Here is a 22239-nt window from a genome sequence, read left to right as displayed (position 1 = left end):
TTTTATTTTGTATTTTGCCTTAACTAAAGTTTATTAAAATAAAGATCTTAACACCTTTTACCTATTGAAGCCTCTTCTTTAAATTATTCAAATAAGCACTCATAGTTTTTAATTGTCAATAAGACACAATATTTTTTATTGATCTCTCTGTTCACTGCTGTTTCTTGTATCCTGTATCTTCTGTTGTTATTTTTTTCCCCTTTCATATGCATTGGAGTAATCTTTCAGGTAGAATAGAAGGTTGAGTTTTTGTATATCTGACACTAATTTTTTTTTACGACTAATTTACTTAGACATGAGATTTTAGGTGGGAATTTTATTTTTCTTCAAGACGTGGAAGCCATAATTTGACCATCTTCTTGCATATGTTTTTACTAACGAAGAATCTATTGTTGGTCTAATCCTTGCTCCTTTGTAGATTCCTATCTTTCTGGGTGAGGTTAATAAGAGTTTCTCTTAGTCATGCATGGTCTTGAGTTTCACATCATCTGTCCAGGTTGGGGATTTTTCCTTCCAGGCAACAGCAGAACCCTTTCAGTCTGGATGGGTGATGTTATCCTGGTCAATTCCCAGCCACTGTTCCCTGGATACAACTTTTCTGTCGACCTCTGGGATCTTTTCTTCTGGAATTCTGCTAACTTGTTGGAGTCTCTACATCTTTCCTCCCTAGCTCTGGGCTCCTGCTTCATGCTGTTCATTTGTTTGTATTCCTTGGCCATGTTCTCGTGGGCAACTCAGCATTTCCCTCCAGATGGACTTTGAGCAGATCTAGTCTGGAGTCGGTCCTTCCCAATTTTAGGTCTCCAAATTCCTTAGTCTCCTCGTTTTTCATAGACATCTGTTCTTAACTTACATCTGCCTCTGTTCTCATCATTTTGAATTTGCTGATGTGGGTATTGGGTGGACAAAGTCAGTTCACAGTTGTCCTGCTGCATGTGTGGCCTTGAGGTGAGTTTCTCCAGCAGCTGAGCCGGTTTCTTCCTCCTCTTGCCCTACCCTGACGCTTTCTCCCGGCCTTAGGGGATGCTCTCCCTTGGTTCAGAGTTTGGTCTCATTCTCATGCTGAGGACCCCACACCCACGCATTCACCTTGCAGGTGTAGCATGTTCTGCTCAGTGCTGTCCTCCAGCCACCTGGTTTCCATAAGCCCTACATCAGGTCCTGGCTATTTTGCTTTTCCCCAGTCTCCTTTCTTCCCTGCTTTCAGACACCAAGCTCCAGTCCGCATTCCCTGCCTCAGGCACTGAACTGAACTTCTGGCTGTCTCTGTTTCTCGGTCTAGGGCCCTGACATCCCCTGGGCTCATCCTGCAGCGGCTTTGCTGTGGGTTTATTTTTTTAATGGTGCACAGACGTCCTTATCTTGGTTCATGAGCCCACAGGGGCCAGTTCCCTACAGGACAGGAGCCTCATCTTGCCATCAGGGCAGTCTCAGGGGTTTACATGACAGCTCTAGGCTTGTGGAAGACCATGTGGATCATGCGCCCAGGCTGTCCGGGATCTGGAGAGGTCCACATCTGCTCCAAGGGATCCAGAGGAACGCCTTCTGGGGCCCCTGCAGGGATGCACTCAGCTGTCCATGTCTGTCCTCAGGGAAGACCCAAGCACAGTGTTCCCATCAGACACTTCTTTCTTTCTTAAACAGGTACCAGGTTCCTGATGGGTCCCTGGTACCATGGGCGATGCTGTCGAGTAGCAAAGCTAATGTTGTACCTGGCTGGCCTCCCGGGGAAGATGCTAGATGTTAACACCAGGTCCCCTTCTGACAGATCAAGCACATGCTTTTATGAACCCCCCATTTACCATGGGCATGGCTAAGTCTTTTATATTCTTTAAAATACAGACAGATATTTTCACTATCATTGAAACGAGTTAAAAGATTGAATTCATAATGTTATCATGACTGAGGCTATGGAGTTAGGCATAATTTATAAATTTAAAAATCCTTATATCACCCAGTGCTGAAATATAATTTTAAAAACTACCTTAGTTGGCAAAATACTATACAAGTTTACTAAAAACTAAGTGCAAAAAATTTTTTAAATGTTTAAATTGAGATCAGCTACACATAAGATTCACCATCATGGGCATTTTTGTCTATTTCAGTGGCATTAAGCACTTTCTCATTGTTGTGCAGCCATCACTGCCAATATCTCCAGAACTTCTCGATCTTCCCAAACTGAAGCTCTGCCCCATTAAACAGCCCTCCTCATTCTCCCTCCCCAGCTGCTGGCAGCCTCCCTCTGACCTGTCTGTGTATCCAACTCCTCCAGGTGCTGCGTATAAGGGGATCATACTGTCCTTGTCCTATTCGGCCTTCTGTCTGTGCATCTGACTTCTCCAGGTGCTGCGTGTAAGGGGATCACACCATCCTTGTCCTATCCGGCCTTCTGTCTGTGCATCTGACTCCTCCAGGTGCTGTGTGTAAGGGGATCACACCATCCTTGTCCTATCCGGCCTTCTGTCTGTGCATCTGACTCCTCCAAGTGCCACATGTTAGGGTAATCACACCGTCCTTGTCCTTTTGTGATGGCTTATTTCACTCAGCATAGTGTCCTCAGGGTTCACCCAAGTCGTAGGATGTGTAGAATTTCCTTCCTTTCTATGACAGGGTAACATTCCATTGGGCAGCTATACACAATTGAACATTTTCATTTTATTATTTCATTTGGAAATCACAACCACCCCATATGCCAATATCAGTATGCTCTGGCCAAAGAAAAATGAGAAAAATGTGTAACAAGGGGCTTGGCTCATAGTGGGCCCTTGATACGCACGTCTTAATAAGTCTCTGTTGTCTTTAGATTGAAGAGTTAGATGCAGACTACAGAAGGGACCCCCTTTTGCTGTGACTTTCTTACGTATGCCAAACCATCAGCTTAAGACTAGCTGAATTTCTAGAGGTCTCTCAACTTGCGTGAAAGAGAGAAATAGCTGCAGGCTCATTCTGTGTTCCTTCACCCATGTGGAGCCCGCTTTAGTTCACAAGGACCTTCATGCTGGTGTCCTCTGAGTGCCATGGGAGAGTATCTCACACAGGAGGAGAACCTCCATCCAACTGGCTGCCTGATACGAGCTTTGAATAATCCGGCTGCTATTTTTGCAGAATTCATTCCAGTCATGTGAGTTGATCACAAGAGTACATCTATTTTTCAGCACTGCTTCCTCATTTGGGTTCTTCTGAACGTGGGATATTTTTGCTTTCTTGATGTTTCCATGCAGGGAATGGCTGTAGACGTGCAAGTGTCATTTGAAAGAGGGATTAACCTGCTCGAATTTCTCCTGTAACAACTAGAAGCTTGCAAGTGCATGGGCCCGTTGCTCCTGCCACTAGCCCTGGCTGTCTTCCCCACCCGCCTCTCTCCCTTGGAGTGCTCTTGCACACTCTGTCAATGGTGTTAGCAGCTACACATGCCAGGCTCTCAACGCACAGAGCAATTCCTCCAAGAGTTCAATAAGGGAGCAGCAGGTCCCAGCAGCCTCTGCTCCCAACATCGTGTTCCCTCATCCTGGAAGTCGTGCTTTTCAAAGCCACTCACAGTCAACACTTCAGGAGTATTAAGCCTAGGCCTGAAAGCGCTGATGCCTTGACAAGCTGGTGCCAGAAGTGCATGGAGCGGTATGGAGATGGCAGGGCAGTGGTCATCAGACCTCGCGGAGCACAAAGTGGGCTATGGGATGTGGTGGGAAATGCAAACTCCAGTCCAGACCCCTCCCAGAGACAGAACCTGGGGTGGTCCTGGGATCTGCCTCCACCTGAGCTGCCCGGGTGCCTGGGGGAACCTGTCTGTCCCATGGACTGAGCAGGCCTGGGGTCAGGGAGTGATAAGAGCTGTGACTAAGTAGAGTTCTGAGCTCTACACACCTGTGTTTACATTAAAAAAACTCAATCTCTGCTGGTTGAATTCAAAACTATATTATATTAACTTGCCACCTAGGCTTTAGCTGTTGTGGTTCATTCATTATTTTAAAAACATATTATTTCCCCTAAAAGATTTCCACTTGTCTACACTGTTGTGGCAGTCTGAACATTTTCACCTTTGTTTTGATGTCACTATGATGAGCACCATGTATCCTGATGTGCTCAAGATGTAGCCACAGTCACATATACCAGGCCACCTGCACGGATCCCCTCCCCAGGCTAAGGGGCCCCCTGGACAGAGTTGGCCTAGGGTGAAGTGAGGAAGGAGCTGGAGCTTCCTCAGGCCTCACACCGCTTGATTCTGGAACAGCACAGCATCCAACTCTGCCCTGAGCAGCTCTCACATTTGAAGACTGCTTGTGGATGAAACACTCCCATGCCCTCAGCCTTTCCCCTGCTAACGAAAGGACACATTCCCCCACCCCCAATCCTGGCTGGTCTCAGCATGTTGAGTTCCCTGAGCACTTAACGAGCACCTGCTGTGTACCACCCCCTGGTGGGCAGGGAACACACACCAGCCGTGCCCTCCAGCCTTTGCTGATAACCGTGAGTCGGCTTCTCAAGATGCATCCACCCTGTCTGTTCCACCCACACCTTTTTTTTTTTTTTTTAATGTCAAAGAAAGCCTTTTCCAAACACTCTTCTGCCTTCATGGGATCAAGACGCAGATTTACATTAAGTCTCTAAAGACAGGAGAGGTTTCCCTGGCATCACTTGCTCTTAGTGATCCTCGCTCAGTCACGGCCATCTTCGCTTTTCTCCCTACATATACACAAGCGTGTCATTAAGACTTGAGTTGTGTAACTTCGCTTGCAGTGGACGGAAATTTCACAGGTACATAATTAATTGCTGGAATGCACTTCTTCCCTATTGTGAAAACTAGAATGACATTTTTCTATCCCTGGTCTTCTGGTATCTTTTCCATATTCCATAACTCCTAAAAAAATACCCTTCAGGAGGGTCTGTGTCTTTCTCTCCTAGCGGCCATAAGACATTAGGAAACATCCTCGCGACTCAGCCATGTGGTCCGTGAAACGGGGTAGCTGTCCTACACACCTTGTCCAGGTGCTCTGAGATTCCATGGAGTAACAAACGCAGCCTCGCCCTCGGTGCCTAGCGTGTGTTAGATGCTCAGCAAATATCAGCTATTATGATTGCTAACTGTTTTACCCGCCACTTTTTCTCTTTTTTCTTTTTTCTTTTTTTTGAGATGGAGTCTCACTTTGTCGCCCAGGCTAGAGTGCAATGGCATGATCACGGCTCACTGCAACCTCCACCTCCCGGGTTCAAGTGATTCTCCTGCCTCAGAGCCTCTTGAGTAGCTGGGATTACAGGCATGTGCCACCATACCTGGCTAATTTTTGTATTTATAGTAGAGACGGGGTTTCACCATGTTGGCCAGGCTGGTCTCGAACTGCTGACCTCGTGATCCACCCACCTCAGCCTCCCAAAGTGCTGGGATTACAGGCGTGAGCCACTGTGCCTAGCCTTATGAATTTTGTTATAGCCAAACATATGTGCTTGCTTCTTGATCATCACTAATCTCTATTTTCATCTTTTGCAATCGTTACTCTCTTCAATATATGAAAATATAACTTTCATAATATTCATAACTTTAATGAAATAACTAAATTCCCCCCACCCCATGGAATACTGTGGTATTATAGAAAGGCTGAGTACGTAGCATGAAAGTGATTCTATGCATTTTCAGATTGTGTTGGCCTGTATATTAATTCCATGTCTCTTGTGTGGGTGTTATTATTCTGAGAGCCTCAGAATGGGATGTTGATTGATGAACTGCAGTCACAACTTCACTCAAACACAGCTGGAAGATTCTAATGTATGCAAGGCCTATACACAAGCTTTTCAGTTCAAAAAGCACTGGATAGAAAAATCAAAGAAGAGCAAAGGACAGGCTGTGTTCACAGATTACAGCAGCTCTCACACACACAACATGAAACACTCAGATGTTAGAGCTATGTTCCAGGAAAAATGAGCTCGGCTTCCTGTTTATTATGAACCACAAAATTCAAAGGTCTGAAAAACATACTTTGGATAAGTTATTTTACTATTTTCTACTAGTGACTTGTTGGAGAGATTGAAATTTTCTCCAGTGTATTATTCTGAGTTGGGAAGTCTATAACACAACTTGCATCCTCCTGAGAGGAGCTACAGCCCATGAGAGAGGACCCCGCTCTTTGGGAAGCAACATTCAGTACAGCCTCAAAACAGCCAATCGAATGATTAAAATGCAAGAAAGAAAGACCCTTGCCACACCTGCAGCCCAGGCAACGAAGACACCAAACAGGACTGCGCAGATGGGGAAGCACCTCTGAAATGGCACCAATAGGTCTAAATCTGGATGATTATGGGATTTTAATCAAGGTCACTGTGGGAGGGCCAAGTTAACAAGATTACCACCGAGCCAGGGAGCTGAGTTATGTGATAGATTTGGGAAACAGCAGTGGCTTTACTGGGTTGGAGTGGAGGGCATTTTGGCGAGAGGGAATGCAGTCGGAGGCACAAATTGGGTCCTGACAGTGTGAAACCTTGACCCACAGGCTTTGACATTGATGCTCAACATAGAAGATCATATTTTTAAATATATTCAGGTATACTGTGGATAGCTTAAACATGCTTTAGTAGGATAGTGACATGCATAGAGTTGTAGTTTAGGAAATTTGCTATAGGATGAATTGGAATTAGAAAAAACTCAAAGTGCTGAGATGACCTGGGACACCAGCGTAGAGTGGAAGAGAGAATCGCAGAAGTGAGGTGGCCAGAAATAGGCTTCATTTACGTGTATTTATCTGAACACTGTTGTGATAGAGCGACTTCTTGCTCAGAGCTCCTAAAACCCCATGGTTTCCTAAGTAATAAGGGCAATAAAGGTTGAAAGGACAGTCCTTAGTCATTCCCAGCCAGCCCTTCAACCACACCTGAGTTTACGCTGATGCAGAGACTCAAGCTGGACCCTGGAGAGCCTCAGGATAAGGCAGTCCTCAGGGAACTAGCCTTGTGATTAGAGGATTGGAACTTCCAGCCCCTCCCGACCCCAGACCTCCAGGAAGGGAAAAGGGACTGAAGGTTAGCTGGATCAGGGATGGCCAGTGACTTAATTCACTGTGCTTATGTAACAAAGTCTACATAAAAAACCCTAAGGATTTCATTCTTTTTACAGCTGAACTGTAGTCCACTGTGTCTACCTACCCCATTTCACATGTTCTTTCTCCATTCTTCTGTTGATGGACACTCAGGTCGATTCCATCTCCTGGCTATTGTGAATGGTGCAGCTCTGATACCATTTCTTTTGGCTGTACACTCAGTAGTGGGATTGCTGGCTCATATGGTGGCTTAGTTTTTTGAGGAACCTCCATGCTGTTTTCCTTAGTGGCTAGACTAATTTATATTCTCACCAACATTATAAGAATTCCCTTCTCCACATCCTTGCTAGAACTGTTACTTTTGGTCTTTCTGGTAACCGCCATTCTAACTGGAGTGAGACAGTATCTCAGTGTGGTTTTGATTTGCACTTCCCTGGGGATTAGTGATGCGATGCTGGATACTGGAGCATGTGTTCATACACCTCACCTTATACATTATGTACACGTATCAACATGTAACACAAGATCCACAGATATGTACAATTACTATCAGTCAACCAAAAATAACCATTTATAAAATGAAAACAAAACCTACACACACACACACACACACACACACACACACACGTATCAGAGTGTAACACAGTATCCCACAAATATGTACAATTACTGTGAGTCAACCAAAAATAACCATTTATAAAAGGAAAACAAAACCTACACACACACACACACACACACACACACACGTATCAGAGTGTAACATAGTATCCCACAAATATGTACAATTACTGTGAGTCAACCAAAAATAACCATTTATAAAAGGAAAACAAAACCTACACACACACACACACACACACACACACGCACGCATCAGAGTGTAACACAGTATCCCACAAACATGTACAATTATTATGAGTCAACTAAAAATAACAAATTTAAAATGGAAAAACAAAACCTACCAAGGGTTTTGGAGTGCTTGCAGAGGGCTGAACACAGGGAGGCGGTGCCCAGAGAGGGCACGGAGAGTCCACATGGCCCTGGCCTCTGCCTCGCCCCATGTGCCCCTTCGTTCGGCTGTGCCTGAGTGGGAGCATTTACATAGTGTGGGTAAACACAAGTAAAGTGTTTCCCCGAGTTCTGTGAGCCATTCAAGCAAATCACTGAACTGGAGGTAGAGCCATGGGAACCCATGATCTCTAGCCAGCGGGCCAGAAGCCAGACTTGGGATTGGCCCTGGTCTTGCGGGGCTGCGTCCTTAACCTGCGGGGTCTGAGGGAAGTGCAGGTGGTCAGGGTCAGGACAGCAATGAATTAGAGGACGCCCAGTTGGTGTCCTGGTAGTGGGAGAAACGGTGCATGGGAAAATATACACACATTTGGTGGCCAGAAGTATTGGCGTGAGTGTAGCAAAGAAAAAAAAATGGAATTTTTCTTGCATTTGGTGTCGAGAAGGAAACACTTTTTTCCCTTTTATTTGGCGTCGGAGTGGAGTGTCGTGTGAATGCAGAGAGAGCACTGGCAGCCAGGTGAAGCTTCCATTTTGACTGTGAAAGTAGAGACATAAATCGTGGGTTTGGGGTTAAAAGAGAGAAAGAAGTTAACGATGGCTATAATTTCAGGCTAAGCGACTACAGAAATAATCATCTTTTTAAAAACATGCCAGAATCAAATCCATTAATTAGCTATACTTTTTTAATGACTTGAGGATACTGAATATAAATATCTAAAGTTGAATATTTTCATGTTTGAGGCCATCTAAAGTGAAGCTGTTTAATTTTTAGACCATACTATTTAATAAATGACTTAGTTATTACACATACAATATCCATTTCTTAAATGTTCAGTAGTAGAGACAGTTACATCATCATTCTTTGGGCCACCCAAGATCAAGGTCTTTGAAAATGGTTCGGAAGGAGAATGCTGTGCATGAGGCCACACTGTATGGCTGGAGATCTTTTATTTGGTGGAGGGACAGGAGTTACATTTATTTTTGCTAATGAGATAACAATATTCTTGCAGGCATCTAATCCCCCACTTCCACTGTCCAGAACGGGACTGTAGAGCCCATTCTCCAAACGTGCTGATTTCAGATATTTAATTCTTTTTTTTTCACGACAGACGAATGTCAGTGGTAGCTATTTTGAAAATGTAATATTTTATCAGAGCAAAAGGCTCCTGGAACTGCACTTTTGTGTTGTGAACTCTGAATTCCCGCCAATAAAGATGAGGTAATAATCGAATTCTTCAAATGCATTAGCTGCATTTGTGGAGACATTGATCACTTTCTCTGAAATCATTCCAGGACCCTCTGGTCCGTTCATAGGTCTCCGTGGGCTTCTGTGTCTGGAGCCTCGCCGAGTGAGGCAGGAGTGGGGCCCCCTGTGCCCCCCTGGAGCCTCGCGGAGTGAGGCAGGAGTGGGGCTCCCCGTGCCCCCCTGGAGGCGGCCACGCAGTGAAGTCCTTCTGAGCCTCCTATTTATCTGTCCGCATTTTCTCCTCTCCTCCCCTGTTCTGGGCTTCGGATCCCCATTGCATTCACACCTGTGCTATGTACTATGCCTGCCCTGGTGAGCCCCGTGGAAACTGTTACCACATTAACCTTCACAGTAAGAGAACACAAAGAGCTGAAGTCAGAGAAAAACAAGGTTTGCTTCAACAATCAGAGGCTCCGTGTCCTGATCAGGATAAAAGCAGTGACAGTGCTGCTAGCTTCAAGGGCTTCTATGAACATGCGGTGAGATGCTGTCGAACCTGGGCACCCCGCAGACGCTAAATGAACGCCGGTCTCTCCTCCCGCCTCAGACGCTAAATGAATGCCGGTCTCCCCACCTCAGACGCCAAACGGACGCTGGTCTCCCCTCACTCAGAGTCTCCCCCGCCTCAGACACTAAATGAACGGGGGCTTCCCCTTCACTCAGAGTCTCCCCCGCCTCAGACGCTAAATGAATGAACGGGGGTCTCCCCCCCACCCCCCCATCCCCCCACCCCCGCCCTTTCTCCTGCTGAACCCGCCGGGGACAGTGTGGGGCGGGACCGCTGACGGCTGCTCGGAGGAGTGACGGGGACCCCTGAGCCCTGGACTCTGAGTCTCAATGCCACAGCCGCACTGAGCTGGGCCTCCTCACGAAGCAAATCTGTTTCCGGGAACAAAAGCGCATTCTTTGCAAGTCTGAGAAGCTTTCACACGAACAGGTTTTAGGGAGAGAACGGATTATGCTCACGCTTTGCAACAAATGTCTGAGGAGAGACAGAAAAGGAGGCCGGCACGGGTGCTCGCGAGCCACATTCCGCCCCCAGGCTCTCCTCTTAAGCAGCCAACACGTCCGATTCCTTTTCTTACTACCTGGTTTTTGATTCCTTGTTTTACTTATTAAGTGACCTGATAGACACTTTGGATTGAAATGTCAACACAGAAACAGAGTTTCCATGTTGATATTTCTATGTTGAGGTGACAAAAAACTGTTCGTTTTCATGGTAAGTTTTCAAAGAAGGGGCGGCCGTGGAGGCAGAGGGGTTCTGGTTCAGGCCTCGGGTGGTTCATTCAGCGGGGCTAGAACTCCATGTCCTCACTTAGGAAACAGGAGCAGCAAAATCGGATTCTCCGCCTGATGGACTGTTCTGAGGATCAGACACATTTATGGAAAAGTTTAATTTGCCTCAGAAACTGTAGTATCGCTGCACTGCAGAGGTTTGAACCTCCCTCAAGTGACCAGGCACGTCTGAAATACGAAGGCGGACACCTGGGCTGACCACGGGAAGCTGGTTTCCATGGCCGTCGTGACGGGAACCTACAATCCCCCGCCAGGCCGGGCTGGTCGCCACTCTGTATGGACGCTGGAATCATCTGGTCGCCACTCTGTATTGACGCTGGTAACCAGGCATCGTCTGGGGACAGGATGGGTTTCACGTCCAAACTGAGCACTGAAAATACTTTGAAAAGTCTCTTTAGCACCTCAAGCAGATATTATGCAGGGTCCTCTATGTTTTTGTCATCTAATAACATCTTTAAGTCTGTCAAATAATTTTGCATTTTCCACCTGCTTCCCATTGGCAGGGGTAGTCAGTTTTGTCACCCATCACCCTCCCCCAATTTATGTTAAAAAATATTCTTTTAGTCATGAAATGACCCCTCAAGGAGTTTCTACCCTGTTTGTGGGATTGTAAATTAGCTCAGCCACTATGGAAAGCAGCTTGAAGATTTCTCAAAGAACTTAAATCAGCAATCCCATGACTGGGTATATACCCAAAGGAAAATAAATCATTCTACCAAAAAGACACTGACACATGTATGTTCACTGCAGCATGGTTCACAAGGTTCGCAATAGCAAAAACATGGAAGCAACCCAGGTGCCCATCAAAGGTGGATGAGATAAAGAGACAGTGCTACCTATACACCACGAAATTCTATGCAGCCGTAAGAGAGAATGGAATCACGTCCTCTGCAGCAACACGGATGCAGGTGGGGGCCTTAGTCCCAAGTGAATTACCACAGGAACAGAAAGCCAGACACCACGTGTTCTCACTTATAAGTGGAGGCTAAACATAGGGCACACGTGGACATAAAGGTGCGAACAGCAGACACCAGGGCTACTAGAGGGGGAGGGAAAAAGGGGCTGGGGAAGAAACACTGCCCATTGGGTGCTGTGCTCAGTGTCTGGGTGATGGGATCATTTGCACCTCAAACTTCAGTGTCATGAAATAAATCCATGTAACAAACTTGCCAACGTACCCCCGGATCTAAAATAAAAGTTGAAAAAAAAATTAGCCTTTAAATCAGAAAGACGCACTAGAGAAAGTCATAAGAAAATAATTAAAAGTGAAAGTTTTGTATCCTAAAACCAGTTTAGGGCTGCCTGGAGTCAAGTTCACAGATTAAAGATAGACACAGCCCACAGGTTGGCAGAATAGAGTTGCCTGTTTGTACGCATGTGTGTACCTGTTTGTATGCATGTGTGCACATGTGTGTACACGTATGTATGCATGTGCACCACAGCCAAAGGCTGGACAAGTATAATACAGGGATCAAAATGCTTGATTTTTTTTCTTCTTTTTTTTTCTTTTGAGACGGAGTCTTGCTCTGTTGCCCAGGCTCGAGTGCAGGGGCATGACCTCAGCTCACTGAAACCTCCACCTCCCAGGTTCAAGTGATTCCCCTGCCTCAGCCTCCCAAGCAGCTGGGATTACAGATGCCTGCCACCACGCCTGGCTAATTTTTGTACTTTTAGTAGACATGGGGTTTTGCCATGTTGGCCAGGCTGGTCTCAAACTCCTGACCTCAGGTGATCTGCCCACCTTGGCCTCCGAAAGTGTTGGGATTACAGACATGCACCACCGTGCCCAGCCAGACACCTGATTATTTAACAGGAGGTTCCATGCTTGTAAAGGCAAGACACGCTGAGGGCAGAGGACGCCTGGACGTGCGTAGATGGCGGGATCCTCAGAGACAGCTGCCGGGCAGCTCCGCTCAGTCCCTCCCAGCCGTGTTCTGCCTCCACTCTGGTGTGGACTCTGCACTGGGACCCACAGCCCGGTCAGTCCCTCCCCGCCACCTTCCGCTTCTGCTCTGGTGTGGACCCTGCACTGGGACCCCCGGCCTGGTCAGTCCCTCATGTCCCCATGCCTCTTGCCTCCCACACTTGACCGGCTCCATGGGTCACGACCTGACTCACACCCCGGACCTTGCATTTCTGGCTTGCCCTTGGCAGGTCCTCACTGCCTCTCCCTGGCTACAGCCTTCAGACTTGTTGGCCTCATTCTGACAACTGTGAAACACACCCTCCAATCACATGCTCAGGGCGCCATGCCAACCCCACAAGAGTCCACAGAACACCCCTGCCATTCCAGTTTCCAGCTTTAGCACTTTCTCAGATTCCATCTTTACGAATATAAGTCAGTTTCTCTCAACAGACAACTCCCCCCAACCCTGAACACTTCACTTTCTCAACAGCCTGCAACTCTGACTTTACTGACCTTGAAAGAATGCCTTTCCCCAACACTAACAGCAGAGGAAAAAGCAGAATTCCTAGGCATGTCACTAAGTGTCCACACGGTGCCCTGAGCTGCACTTTTTGACTATTTGCTTTCAATCACAGCACCCTGTTGATGGTGTCTTCAGTGAACAGCTTACGATGAGTTTGGAGCTCTTTTTGAAAAAAAAAATGATAAACAAGAATTCACCATTTAATAAGTATGCCATTGACATTGTGCATCTGCACGTGCCTCTTCTCAGGCTGTGCCTCACCAAGGCCCACCTGGCAGGCGTGTGTGCACTGATGGAGCTTTGTGAGACCTGCACAATCTAACCCCATCATCCTGTCATTGCACCTGCAGAAGAGCTACATACTGGGAGACTGGGTGGTGCCCTTTGAGTTCAAGACCATTTATCAAAGATAAGAGTGACTCCAATCATTGATTACTGAGATTTTCATTCCCTTTCATATTATTCCTCCATCCAGAGAAGGGCCTTCGAACATCTCATGTTTCTGGACTTTAAGGCAATACTTTTTCTGTGACAAAACATTTTTTCATTTCCATTATAACTCTATACTTGCCAGATTTAGTGCAAAGTAATCTACAACTTTTTGAGAATCTAAGTAAAATATGCATAGTGACTTTTGCTTGCCCTTAAATTGGACTTACTTTGAAAGTCTTTTTTATGCTTCTTGAGCATTGAAACTATATTTTCCTTTCTTCAATAGGTTGTTCATTTATATTACAATAGTAATTCATTTTCTTCCTCTGTTCTTGAAAATATCTATCCATTTATTCATTCTGCTTCCCATCCTTCTATCTTTATGCTTCTTCCTTTATTTACTTTAAAAATACTATAAATAAATAGCTAATAATAAAGGTGTTGAAACATACAAAGGTGCTACAGAGAGGAGGGAGACAAGCCATGACTTGGAAGGAGCCACTGTCCAGTAGAAAACACAGAGGGGCAAATAGAACACAAAGCTGTGAGTTCCAGAGGGACACTAGGAGAACTGAGGAGGTAATGGCACTGGTCAAGAAGAGGAAGCCCTCTTCACAGAGGAGGGGACACTTGAGCTGGGTATTGAAGGATTTTTCCCACACTGTGGTCAGGAAGGGCAAGTCTGTTTTACGGAGGAGGGGACACTTGAGCTGGGTATTGAAGGAATTTTCCCAGCAGGAGGGAGGGAAGTCAGAGACAGGGAGACAGGAAATAGCATGCGAGAGGCACTGTAATCTCAGGAAATGCAGGTGGCCCTGAGCACTGGAGACACAGGCCATCTGCTGGGGAGGGCTGTGAATAGGGAGGGTATGTTAGAGTCAGAATGGCCATCACAGCTGGCAATTGCCTTTTGCCTGTAGAGGTCTTGCTAAGTGCCCAAGAACAGCAAGAAAGACTCAATAATTACATGCACTGACTCTGACCTTCACAAAGAGCCTGTGATCTTCACAGTGGGCTCCATTGCTATCACCATTTCTCAGAAGAGGACACTGAGGCAGAGAGGGGTGAAGCAACTTATCTGAGGGCTCACAGCTGGAATGGCTGGGGCTTACCAAGGATACACAAGGCCAAGCTGAGAAACCACACATTTATTCTGCAGGTCAAGTAGCAGCAGTGGGATATTTCAGCACTGAATTCGTGAGATCAGATGCATGCATGCATTTAGCAATGTAACAAATCATATGGAAGAGGGTGAGACTCTGAGAACCTTTTGGAACCTCCACATCTGTAAGAGAGATGGAGGAGAAAGAGCCCGGGAGACAGGGAGGCTGAGGGAGAGAATGGAGCCTCAGAAGGCTAGGGAGGAGGAGGCATGAAAGACAAGCAGGCTGCAGAGTCTAGCGCTCAGAGCAGGAGGCTGGCGGGGGACCTCGCCTTCAGCATAAAAGTCCCAGTGCTGGGGGCTCTGCAGAGGGCAGTGGGAGCCATAGCACTGGAGCTAAAAAGGGAGCACAGGTGAGGAGGAGGGAGATGCAGCAAGCCCAGCCCATGCTTGAGAGGCCTGGAGGCAGGAATGGAGAAAGGGCAGTGACTCCAGGGGAGGTGAGGGTCCATGGCAGGACATCCCTAGCAGGAGATCACCTGCCCATGGCATCTGTGTCTTCCAGAGCCCTTGCTGTTGCCTGTAGGTTTTCGGAGCATGTGTCTGAACGTGGAGGATACTGGCGTGGAAGCATCCACCCCCACACTCTGTGTCCCACTTGCAAAGGCCTGGATGAGTGTGCCGCACCACCAGGGCCCACACGACGGCTCATGAGGGCAGAGCTGATTAGGGAAAATTCACCCTTAGTGAGAGAGACTTCATGCGCAGCTTTCCATAAATTCAAGTTCTGGAAAGTTCACGGAAATAATTTTAGAAGCCCTTAAATGAAGTAGACACGCAGCTTCGTGAGCCTGTGAAATGCTTACTCTTGGCATTGTTTGAAGTTTAGCAGATGGTTCAGAGCAGGAGGGAAAGGAGAGGATAAACCAGGCCAGGAGGAGCACGAGGCCCTCAAGTCTACCACCTGCAGGTTCCGCATTTCGGTTACCTCGTTTAATCTGCCCAAGGCTCTACCGGCACAGTTTATGACTCCGTCTTCCTGCCAATGTCACCAGGCTAGGGAGCCGGAGGCAAGCAGGATGGAGTTATATCTTCGGCACAAGTGGGGCCAAAGGCCAGCTAGGACCGCCTGGCTCAGGGGTCAAGTCCTTCGTGCTTTTATGCTCTTTTATGTGGAAACCCATATGTATCAACATTATAATTCCCTGCCTTCAAAACCATATAAGATTTTTGGTGTTTTGATTATTCCTAACTCTGTTTTCTTTGACTTATTATAGTATATAATGTAGCTATGCATTGCACATTGTTAAAAGACACAATATATATAAACATTCATTTTCAGACCAAATTATTGCAATGAATAATTTCTCTGTAGTTAAGCAGAGCAATTAACATACGACGATTTTAATTAGGAGATGTTGGGTTTCCAGAACAAGAGACCACGACTGAATACCTGAAAGGAACAACTGGCGTATGCAGGTAGCTTTCCACGGTGACACTTTAGTCACCTTTTATGCACTGAAACTCAATAAATAAACCCACAGAAATATTAGTTTAGCTGGCAAGTCAAAGTAACGTACAACACTATGCAATTATAACAAAATAATGATTACAATCTCTTAAATAGAGAAGTAAAGATATTTACATGTTCACCAGGAGCTCAGCCTTCCTTCCTGGATAAGACAACTGAAAACAAGGAAGTTTAAAAAAAAAAAAAAAAAAATGGCTCCAGAGTGAAGCAAGGACATTCCCACAGGGAAAGGTGGCCATAATCTGGGAAAATTCCTGAACAAGAAAACCAGGTTCCAAATCAGCATCTCTGGATCCCTTGACCTGGACGTGGGGTTTGACGCAGGCCCATGGGGTGTCCCTGATGCCGTGCGTGAAACACACTTATGTGCTGCTGCCTCTTCATACTTACAAGCTCCCCCAGGAGTTTTAAGCCATAATTTCACTGTATTTCATTCTGAGAAGGGAGCTGACTTGATGCTTTTGCTTTAACTCGACCTGTGCGGAAATGCAGTAGCCTGCAGATGGACCCCTGCAGGAAGCCTTCCTCTAGTGACCCCATGAAACTGTGGGACATGACAGTAAGTTACTGCTACAGAATTATGTGAACTGAGGGGAGAGAATAAAAAGGAAGCACTCAGCGAGTATTTCAAAGGGGTCAGACTGGCGTCTGCTCTGCTGGGAGCTCCTCACCGTGAGGCTGCCTGGGCCACGGTGCCGCACGCGTGAAGCCATGCCCGTGAATGTTACCTTCCGTGTCACTATTACTGGTATCCTCATTGCCAGTGCCTCACAATGCAAAGATTCTGCTCTGAAGCCAGTGAGATTCCAACCACTCCCAGATGATCTGGGCCCTGATCGAAGCTTGCAGTCTCCTCAGCAGATCGAGGGCATGTTTTGAAACCTCCCCTTCCCCTTGGGCACTTGGTGTCAGCGTCTGGCATTCCTGGGGAGGACACCGCTTGGCTTGTGGACCTGACACCATTTCTCAGTTAGCCAAAGGTCTACACACCTGCAGCACGTATCGGTCAGGGTTCTCTGGAGGAATGGAACCAACAGGACACACAGACACATAAGAGGGGGTTTTATTTTCGGAACTGGATCATATGATTATGGAGGCTGAGAAGCCCCACAGCTGGAGACCCACGGGGTCAGGTGTAATTCAGTCTAAGCCCGAAGGCCCCGGCACTGAGGGGCTGCTGGTGAAAGCCTCAGAGCCTGAAGGCCCTGGGGCTCTGGTGGAGGGCAGGAGAAGATGAAGGTCCCAGCTCAAGAAGAGAGGAGGTCCTCCCTTCCTCTTTCAGTTCTATTTGAGCCCTCATGGACTGGGGGAGGCCCACCTGCACTGGGGTGGGGTCTGCTTTACTCATTCCCTGATTCAAACGCTGGTCCTTCCAGAAACACCACCACAGACACATCTGGAAAATGTCTTCCCAGCTCTGTGGGCATCCCCTATCCCAGTCTAGGTGACGGAGAAGATTCACCATCACACGGTGACAGGCTGGGAAGCGAGGAGGGTTCTGAGCACGTTCGTCACACCCAGCTCTCTTCTTGAACTTGTGTCTGGAGAATTTCTGAAATCAGTCTTTACTGAGCCCATTTCTTCCGGTTGGTTCTCAGCTGGTCTAGACAATTCTGTGCTCAGCACCAGGACTGCCAAGGAGAGCTGGGCGCCTACGGTGAGGAAGGAGTTGGGCAGTGGTCCAAGGGGAGCCAGGCGCCTGCTATGGTGAGGAAGGAACTGGTTGGTTCCAGTTGGTTTTCAGCTGGTCTAGACAATTCTGTGCTCAGGGCCAGGGCTGCCAAGGGGAGATGGGCTTCCTATGGTGAGGAAGGAGTTGGGCAGTGGTCCAAGGGGAGCCAGGCGCCTGCTATGGTGAGGAAGGAACTGGGCAGTGGTCCAAGGGGAGCCGGGCGCCTGCTATGGTGAGCAAGGAACTGGGCAGTGGTCCAAGGGGAGCCGGGCGCCTGCTACAGTGAGGAAGGGGTTGGGCAGTGGTCCACATTCTGGAACTGAGGCAATGCTGCTGTCTTTTTCATAGGTGGATTTATCTTTCAGGGAATTAACTGATGCTTCCCCAACAGACATCGATTAAATGTCCACTGTCTCCAACAAGACAGACCCTGTGGCCCAGGAGGGTGGGCAGACAGGCATCATGGACCACCACTGCCCAGCTTTCTTCTCTGTGCCCTGCGCACCTTAATGTTAAATGACAGTCAAGTCTTCCTGTTAACGCAGTGAAAGTGACAGACGAAGGGTCTCTTGGTGGTAGAGCTGCCACGAGTTCCCAAAACCTGGCTTTCCCGGGTTCTGCTTTCACCAGAAAACCCTCTGCACTGTCCTGTGAAAGCCTGAAACAAGGACTTGCTAGAAGGCCTCAAACATCCAAGATACATTTTCAAAGTTATGCGTGAATCCATGTTGCCTGCTCCAGAAAACAGGCTTAGAAACTCCAGTTGCCGAACAGTTAACACCGTGTGTGTCTGTGCCTGACAATGCTGGAGTCCCAGTGGAGAGCAGCACCCTCATCATCCAAGGCCCAGAGAAGGTCCCTCTGCAGGGCCATGGGGGCTTCAGGACTTGACACGGTGCCCCAGATGCTCGTGGAGATTACGCAAGGCCCCAGGTGAACTAACAGGTTGTGGCGAACTTGGAGCTGGGGCCTGGAACTGATTTCTCCCCTGATGAGAACACAGACGCCTCCCCGAGGGAAGGGGAAACCCTCGGACACTCTGGAGAGTGAGGAAACAGACCCAGATCATCAGCAAGAGGGGAAACTGAAATGGCATCGCGGAAAGTGGAGAATGAGTTGGACAGTGAGGCAGGTGGAAAGAGCACAAGGATTCCTGTGTTCTTCAACTACGGGAATAAAATGCTAGCTGGAGATGCTGGAAAGAAAGAGTGAGCCAGAGACCAGGCTTGCCTTGATCTCAGTGAAGACCAGCTGTTCTCAGGAGACGATTCTATCCCCTGGGGGGCATTTGGCACTATCTGGAGGCATTTTTGGTTGTCCTGACTGGCATCCAGTGCTGAGTCCAGCGATGCTGTTAAACATGCTGTGCTGTGCAGGACAGCCCACCCCAACCCCCAACAAGGAAATGCTGGAAGCCCTGAGGTGGACCCTGCGGTACTCAGTCAGCACTCAATACATGACTCCAGAGGACAAGGAGGTGGTGCTCAGTAAGCACTCAATACACGACTCCGGAGGATGAGGAGGTGGCGCTCAGTAAGCACTCAATACACGACCCCGGAGGATGAGGAGGTGGCGCTCAGTAAGCACTCAATACACGACTCTGGAGGATGACGAGCTGGCGCTCAGTAAGCACTCAATACACGACTCTGGAGGATGAGGAGGTGGCGCTCAGTAAGCACTCAATACACGACTCTGGAGGATGAGGAGGTGGCGCTCAGTAAGCACTCAATACACGACTCTGGAGGATGAGGAGGTGGCGCTCAGTAAGCACTCAATACACGACTCTGGAGGATGAGGAGGTGGCGCTCAGTAAGCACTCAATACACGACTCTGGACGATGAGGAGGTGGCGCTCAGTAAGCACTCAATACACTACCCTGGAGGATGAGGAGGTGGCGCTCAGTAAGCACTCAATACACGACTCTGGAGGACAAGGAGGTGGCGCTCAGTAAGCACTCAATACAGGACTCCGGAGGACAAGGAGGGAGCGCTCAGTAAGTTCTCAATACACGACTCTGGAGGACAAGGAGGGAGCGCTCAGTAAGCACTCAATACACGACTCTGGAGGATGAGGAGGTGGCGCTCAGTAAGCACTCAATACACGACTCCGGAGGACAAGGAGGTGGCGCTCAGTAAGCACTCAATACACGACTCCGGAGGACAAGGAGGGAGCGCTCAGTAAGCTCTCAATACACGACTCCGGAGGACAAGGAGGTGGCGCTCAGTAAGCACTCAATACACGACTCCGGAGGACAAGGAGGGAGCGCTCAGTAAGCTCTCAATACACGACTCCGGAGGACAAGGAGGTGGCGCTCAGTAAGCACTCAATACACGACTCTGGAGGACAAGGAGGGAGTGCTCAGTAAGCTCTCAATACACGACTCCGGAGGACAAGGAGGTGGCGCTCAGTAAGCACTCAATACACGACTCCGGAGGACAAGGAGGGAGCGCTCAGTAAGCACTCAATACACGACTCTGGAGGACGAGGAGGTGGCGCTCAGTAAGCACTCAATACACGACTCAGGAGGACAAGGAGGGAGCGCTCAGTAAGCACTCAATACACGACTCTGGAGGACGAGGAGGTGGCGCTCAGTAAGCACTCAATATACGACTCCGGAGGACAAGGAGGGAGTGCTCAGTAAGCACTCAATACACGACTCTGGAGGACGAGGAGGTGGCACTCAGTAAGCACTCAATACACGACTCCGGAGGACAAGGAGGGAGCGCTCAGTAAGCACTCAATACACGACTCTGGAGGATGAGGAGGTGGCGCTCAGTAAGCACTCAATACACGACTCTGGAGGACAAGGAGGGAGCGCTCAGTAAGCACTCAATACACGACTTTGGAGGACGAGGAGGTGGCGCTCAGTAAGCACTCAATACACGACTCTGGAGGACGAGGAGGGAGCGCTCAGTAAGCACTCAATACACGACTCAGGAGGACAAGGAGGTGGCGCTCAGTAAGCACTCAATACACGACTCAGGAGGACGAGGAGGTGGCGCTCAGTAAGCACTGTGGTGCGCTCAGTAGCACTCAATACACGACTCTGGAGGACAAGGAGGGAGCGCTCAGTAAGTTCTCAATACACGACTCTGGAGGACAAGGAGGGAGCGCTCAGTAAGCACTCAATACACGACTCTGGAGGACGAGGAGGTGGCGCTCAGTAAGTTCTCAATACACGACTCTGGAGGACAAGGAGGGAGCGCTCAGTAAGCACTCAATACACGACTCCGGAGGACAAGGAGGTGGCGCTCAGTAAGCACTCAATACACGACTCTGGAGGACAAGGAGGGAGCGCTCAGTAAGCTCTCAATACACGACTCTGGAGGACAAGGAGGTGGCGCTCAGTAAGCACTCAATACACGACTCCGGAGGACAAGGAGTGGCGCTCAGTAAGCACTCAATACACGACTCCGGAGGACAAGGAGGGAGCGCTCAGTAAGCACTCAATACACGACTCTGGAGGACGAGGAGGTGGCGCTCAGTAAGCACTCAATACACGACTCAGGAGGACAAGGAGGGAGCGCTCAGTAAGCACTCAATACACGACTCTGGAGGACGAGGAGGTGGCGCTCAGTAAGCACTCAATACACGACTCAGGAGGATGAGGAGGGAGCGCTCAGTAAGCACTCAATACACGACTCTGGAGGACGAGGAGGTGGCACTCAGTAAGCACTCAATACACTACCCTGGAGGATGAGGAGGTGGCGCTCAGTGCGCACTCAATACACGACTCTGGAGGGCAAGGAGGTGGCGCTCAGTAAGCGCTGAGTTACGCGACTCTGGAGGACAAGGTGGGAGCGCTCAGTTAGTACGACTCTGGAGGACGAGGAGGGAGCGCTCAGTAAGCACTCAATACACGACTCAGGAGGACAAGGAGGTGGCGCTCAGTAAGCACTCAATACACGACTCAGGAGGACGAGGAGGTGGCGCTCAGTAAGCACTCAATACACGACTCTGGAGGACGAGGAGGGGGCGCTCAGTAAGCACTCAATACACGACTCCGGAGGACGATGAGGGAGCGCTCAGTAAGCACTCAATACACGACTCTGGAGGACAAGGAGGGAGCGCTCAGTAAGCACTCAATACACGACTCAGGAGGACGAGGAGGGAGCGCTCAGTAAGCACTCAATACACGACTCAGGAGGATGAGGAGGGAGCGCTCAGTAAGCACTCAATACACGACTCTGGAGGACGAGGAGGTGGCGCTCAGTAAGCACTCAATACACGACTCTGGAGGACGAGGAGGTGGCGCTCAGTAAGCACTCAATACACGACTCTGGAGGACAAGGAGGGGGCGCTCAGTAAGCACTCAATACACGACTCTGGAGGATGAGGAGGTGGCGCTCAGTAAGCACTCAATACACGACTCTGGAGGACAAGGAGGGAGCGCTCAGTAAGCACTCAATACACGACTTTGGAGGACGAGGAGGTGGCGCTCAGTAAGCACTCAATACACGACTCTGGAGGACGAGGAGGGAGCGCTCAGTAAGCACTC

The 22239-nt window shown here is 48.5% G+C and overlaps 1 protein-coding gene across 1 annotated transcript in view, besides 1 other annotated feature; it reads right to left on the bottom strand.

Annotated features, from left to right (window-relative positions):
- Positions 1-22239, bottom strand: part of DLGAP2 (DLG associated protein 2) — a 970849-nt gene that overhangs the window by 281383 nt on the left and 667227 nt on the right. The gene's annotated exons all lie outside the window — the stretch shown is intronic.
- Positions 9513-9665: a silencer, noted in NCBI's record as "fragment chr8:1365595-1365747 (GRCh37/hg19 assembly coordinates)". NCBI's record gives its function as "represses an EF-1alpha promoter that drives an FKBP-Casp9 reporter gene in an ReSE screen in HepG2 liver carcinoma cells {active_cell/tissue: HepG2}" and the evidence as "EXISTENCE:reporter gene assay evidence [ECO:0000049][PMID:32094911]".

The sequence above is a fragment of the Homo sapiens genome, chromosome 8 (assembly GCF_000001405.40).
Source record: "Homo sapiens chromosome 8, GRCh38.p14 Primary Assembly".
Classification (NCBI taxonomy): domain Eukaryota; kingdom Metazoa; phylum Chordata; class Mammalia; order Primates; family Hominidae; genus Homo; species Homo sapiens.
The sequence above is the reverse complement of the archived record's forward strand: the minus strand, read 5'-3'. Positions and strand labels throughout refer to the sequence as shown.